The sequence below is a fragment of the Homo sapiens genome, chromosome 9, assembly GCF_000001405.40.
Source record: "Homo sapiens chromosome 9, GRCh38.p14 Primary Assembly".
NCBI classification, from domain to species: domain Eukaryota; kingdom Metazoa; phylum Chordata; class Mammalia; order Primates; family Hominidae; genus Homo; species Homo sapiens.
In genome coordinates, this window is record NC_000009.12 from 74,299,884 (window position 1) to 74,304,976 (window position 5,093).

Consider the following 5,093-nt stretch of genomic DNA (forward strand, 5'->3'; position numbering starts at 1 on the left):
GATAGCATGATTATGTAGGATGATATGAAGAATTTGTAAAAAATTGCCACAACTATTAAGTAAATTTAACAAAGTCATAAGATATAAAGTTAATGAAAAAAATCGATTACATTTCTTTATACTAACAATAAAGAATTGGATAATGAAATTAAAATTACTGTATAATAATATTTACAATTGCTCACCAAAATATAAAATACTCAGTATAAGTTTAACAAAAGATATGTAGTATCTCTGAATGAAAACTCTGAAATATTGCTGACAGAAATCTTAAAAGGCTTAGAAATGTAATTATACCAAAATTAAAATTACTGTATAATAACATTTACAGTTGCTCACCAAAATATGGAACACTCAGGATAAGTTTAACAAAAGACATATAGTATCTCTGAATGAAAACTATAAGATATTGCTTAGAGAAATTTTAAAGGGCTTAGAAATGTAGAGATACACCATATTTAAGGATTTGGAAAACTCAATATGCCAGAATGTCAATTGTCACCAAATTCACCTATAGATTCAATGCACTTCTGAGCAAAATTCCAGCAAAAAACTTCCTGTAGATATGGACAATCCTATTTTTAAATTTTTCTGGAAATGCAAAGAACCTAAAATAACCAAATTTATCTTAGAAAAGATGGATGATATAGGAAGAATACCTGCCTTCAAGACTTACTTTAAAGTTATAGAAATAAAAGGAGTATGACACTGGCAAAATAACAGAAGTATATCAATAGAACACAATAGAGACTCCGGAAATAAACCCATACATATATGGTAAAATGATATACACTAACAGAGCCCCAACAATTCAATAGGGAAATAAAAGTATTTTAACAAACAGTTTTGAAAAATATCCATATATTCACACTGACCTCACACCATCCACAAAAATTAATTTTATATATATCTTGGAGCTAAATGTAAAACTAAATCTATACAGCTTTCAGAAAATAAAATATAGAGAATTTTTTATAATTTGGGAGTAGGCAAAGATTTCACAGAGAAGAAACAGAAAACACTAATGATGAAAGAAATGATAAATTTGAATTCATCAAAATTTAAAACTTCTGCTCATCGAAAGAAACAAAACATTGAGAAAATATATATACTGTATGAGTCAAAATATTTGTGTCCTATATATCTAATTTATCTCTAGAATATACAAAGAACTAACTCCTACAACTCATTAATAACATGAAAAACAACTTCTCCACCAAAGAAATGGAAAAATGACTTGAACAGACACTTCACAAAATAAGATATGTGAATTGCACATATATGCGTGAAACAGTAATCAATATCCTTTGCCATCATTGAAATTCAAATTAATGAGATATCATTATAGTGTTATTAGAAGTTAAACAGAAAAGACAACATTAAATCCTGGTGAAGATATGGAACAATCAGAGTCCTATTTCCAATGGGAAGGTAAAACAGTAAAATCTCTTTGGAAATCTAGTACTTTCTTAAAATGTTAGAAGTACATCTACCCTAAGAACCAACACTTCTACTCTTGCATATGTATCTAGACAAATGAAAAAATACAACCGCAAAAAGCTTTGTATAGGAATATTTTTAGCAGCTTCTGTTTCTGTTATAATAACCCCAAACTGGAAACAGCCTGATTTCCTTAAATAGAACTGAAAATTCTGTGGCATATTCATACAATGGAATACTACTCAGCAATAAAAATGAACAAATTAAAAACATGAGCAATTACAAATATGAGCAATTACATGGATAAGTCTCACAAACATTTTGCTGAGTGAACAAAAGCCTCATATAAAAGAGTTCATACTATGATTCTATCTACAGAAAGATCTAGAATAGGCAAAACTACACTATGATGATAAGAATTAGACCAGTGAGGCTGGGCGCGGTGGCTCACGCCTGTAATCCCAGCACTTTGGGAGGCTGAGGCGGGCGCATCACGAGGTCAGGAGATCGAGACCATCCTGGCTAACATGGTGAAACCCCGTCTCTACTAAAAATACAAAAAATTAGCCGGGCCTACGCCCGGCGGGCGCCTGTAGTCCCAGCTACTCCAGAGGCTGAGGCAGGAGAATGGCGTGAACCCGGGAGGCGGAGCTTGCAGTGAGCCGAGATTGCGCCACTGCACTCCAGCCTGGGCGACAGAGACAGACTCCGTCTCAAAAAAAAAAAAAAAAAAAAAAAAAAGAATTAGACCAGTGATTGTTTCTGGATGCTGGAGATTAACTGGGAAGGATTATGAGAGAACTGATGGAAATATTTCATTGCTTGATAGTGGTACAAGTTAATGATTATGTGCATTTGTCAACACTCATGAAACCGTACACTTAAGATCAGCACATTTTTTGATATGTAAATTGGACTTCAGTTTAAAAAATTTGTTTGCCTTGTATGATGATCAGTTGGCATTCAACAAAAAAAGTGAGTAAAAACTAATTATAAGAGTGTACATTAGCCTGAAACTTATTGGCTCAAAGAAAATCAATTAGGCTTCTTAGCTTTTTTTTTTTTTTGCATTTACACACCCACTTACATTCAGTTTTTTAAATTAACCATTTAAAATATACATATAATATAAACATATTAAAATAATTCTCAGAAATAGGTTCAAAAAGATTAGAACAAATGATTCCAAGTAGGGTTGAAGTTAAAATGCAGATACTCCAGTCATAGAGATCTAAACAATTATTAAATTTGAGTTTTAAATTTGGTTTTGAAATTCTTGCTCACCCAAATAAAAAGAGAAGAAGCACAGTAAATTATATAACCCTCAATATTTAGCTTTAAAATGTCTAGTTTCACAGAGGGATAAAAGCTTTTTCTAGCGCTTAATCTTGTAAAATGAAGGAAAAAGGACAAGAAGATGAAGACTCCTGTGGCTTGTAAGATACTTATCACTAAGTTTATGTAGACTTGCTGTAAAATTATGAGACAGGTGAACACAGTAATTTCCCAATAGGGAAAGATAAAAAGCAAATACAACTTGACCGGAGAAAGAAAAGGGAGGTGAAACGAGTTTCAGGAATGCACTGTGAATGTGCAGGAACTCCACCACTTTCAGATTCTGCTTGCCCAAGAACACAGCCAGTCAGGTGTCTTTTTGATTCAGGCCAGGCGTGGTGGCTCACCCCTGTAATCCCAGCACTTTGGGAGTCAGAGGCGGGTGGATCACCTGAGGTCAGGAGTTTGAGACCAGCCTGGCCAACATAGTGAAACGTCGTCTCTACTAAAAATACAAAAATCAGCCAGGTGTGGTGGTAGGCGCCTGTAATCCCAGCTACTCGGGAGGCTGAGGCAGGAGAATCGCTTGAACCCGGGACATTGCAGTGAGCTGAGATCGCGCCATTGCATTCCAACCTGGGTGACAAGAGCAAGACGTCGTCTCAAAAAAGATTACTTTTGGTTCAAATTTTATATTTATAGGAGCAACACTTTTTCCTGAGTCATATGGAATATGCACATATACATATTCTATCTAATTAAATGTATATATACATATTTACATATGTACGTGTATATGTACATATTCTATATAATTAAAAATTACATATAATTAAATGTATTAAATTTAATTTAATATTTAATGTATTTAATATTTAATACAGCTAATACTTAACGTATTTAATATTTAGTAATTTACTTTTAAATTACATGTATTACATATTGCATGAATTGTATTACCTATTGCATAAATTATATTACATATAATTAAATATACATATAATTATAGTGCAAATAAATATATTACATACTATTACATACATTTAAATTACATATAATTAATATAATGTATATAATTAATAATTATAAATAATAAATCACATATAGTTTATATAATACATATATTGCCCATGAATATATTGCATGTAATATATTACATATAATTAAAAGTCAAACAATGCAGAAGGTAGGAGGGGTTAGGGTGTTGGGTCAGGAGTCAAAGGCTCGTAGTTTAAAAACAAAATCACCAAATGATTTACATATGCATGTCCACTAAATATCCAGTGAACTACACTAGTGATTTGCAAAATTTGGTATATTTCATTCCTCTGGAGCTTCTTTACATTCAGATTATGTAATGGCCCAGAAATGGGAGGCCCCCAAATCTACAAACTTAGTGAACACTCCAGGTGATTGTGATGAAAGTGGCACTGAGGCCACGCTTAGAACAAGAACAACTTAGAGAGTCACAAGGTCAAGTGCTGCGGGGGAGAGGCAGGTCACGCCAATGAGTGAAGCAGGTCTCACAGGACACTTGACAGTTGGGGTGGGCGGCAGAGGAAATGTGATCTGGAGTCCATGTGCCTCGCTCAAAGAGGGCAGGCACTAGGCACTACTAGCTGAATGCAGGGCATGTAGGTTCTGTGTGCTGGAATTTCTGAGTTTTGAAGAGACACTTAAATCCGAACTTTTCTGCAAAATATCCTGACTTTTTTAAAAATGTGGGCCCTAATATATGTAAGGCAAAACAAAGCATGTGAGTGTGGCCAAAACACAGCCTTCTACCAAATACGGACTATGGCCATCACTTTGCAAACTCAGCTCTTGACATTGGTAGGGTTTCCTAAAGTCTGGCTGGATCACAGTCAATAAGATTTTCCATTCTGGTAACAGGAGAATTACTACTGTATTGTACTTCATGAAGAAGAGCCAAACCATTTGATGCCTGATCCTTCAGTGGCATGTCTGATTTTTTTTAATATATACAAATTATGATCCTCACTAACTTCCAACCCAGAAGATTACCAACCTCTACATGGGGATGGGTAGCTTGGATGCCAATAGGCAGGGCCAATTTTTCAAAAGAATAGGAAAAGAAAAAAAAATGTGCTTAAACATGTAAACAAGGACTTGGTGAGGACCCAAGCCTTCTATTGTGCAGGATTTGAAAGAGAGGATTTGACTGGGACAAATTTCAGGACAATGAAGGTATTTTATTCAGCCAACTAGTCCTTGAAGAAAGTTCAGTATGAATCCATGGAATGCCTGACTGGGTAAACTGTCTCCTGCTGAGCCTCATTTGCATGATTAGTGGTAAAAATGTAATCTTACTACTTTCTCCAATGTTGACAGGAATATTTCGATGTAAACTTTTAGAA

The 5,093-nt window shown here is 34.3% G+C and overlaps 1 annotated feature.

Annotated features, from left to right (window-relative positions):
* Positions 2,930–3,224: a silencer, noted in NCBI's record as "tiled region #9175; K562 Repressive non-DNase unmatched - State 24:Quies". NCBI's record gives its function as "represses a minimal TATA promoter and a strong SV40 promoter by Sharpr-MPRA in K562 cells {active_cell/tissue: K562}" and the evidence as "EXISTENCE:reporter gene assay evidence [ECO:0000049][PMID:27701403]".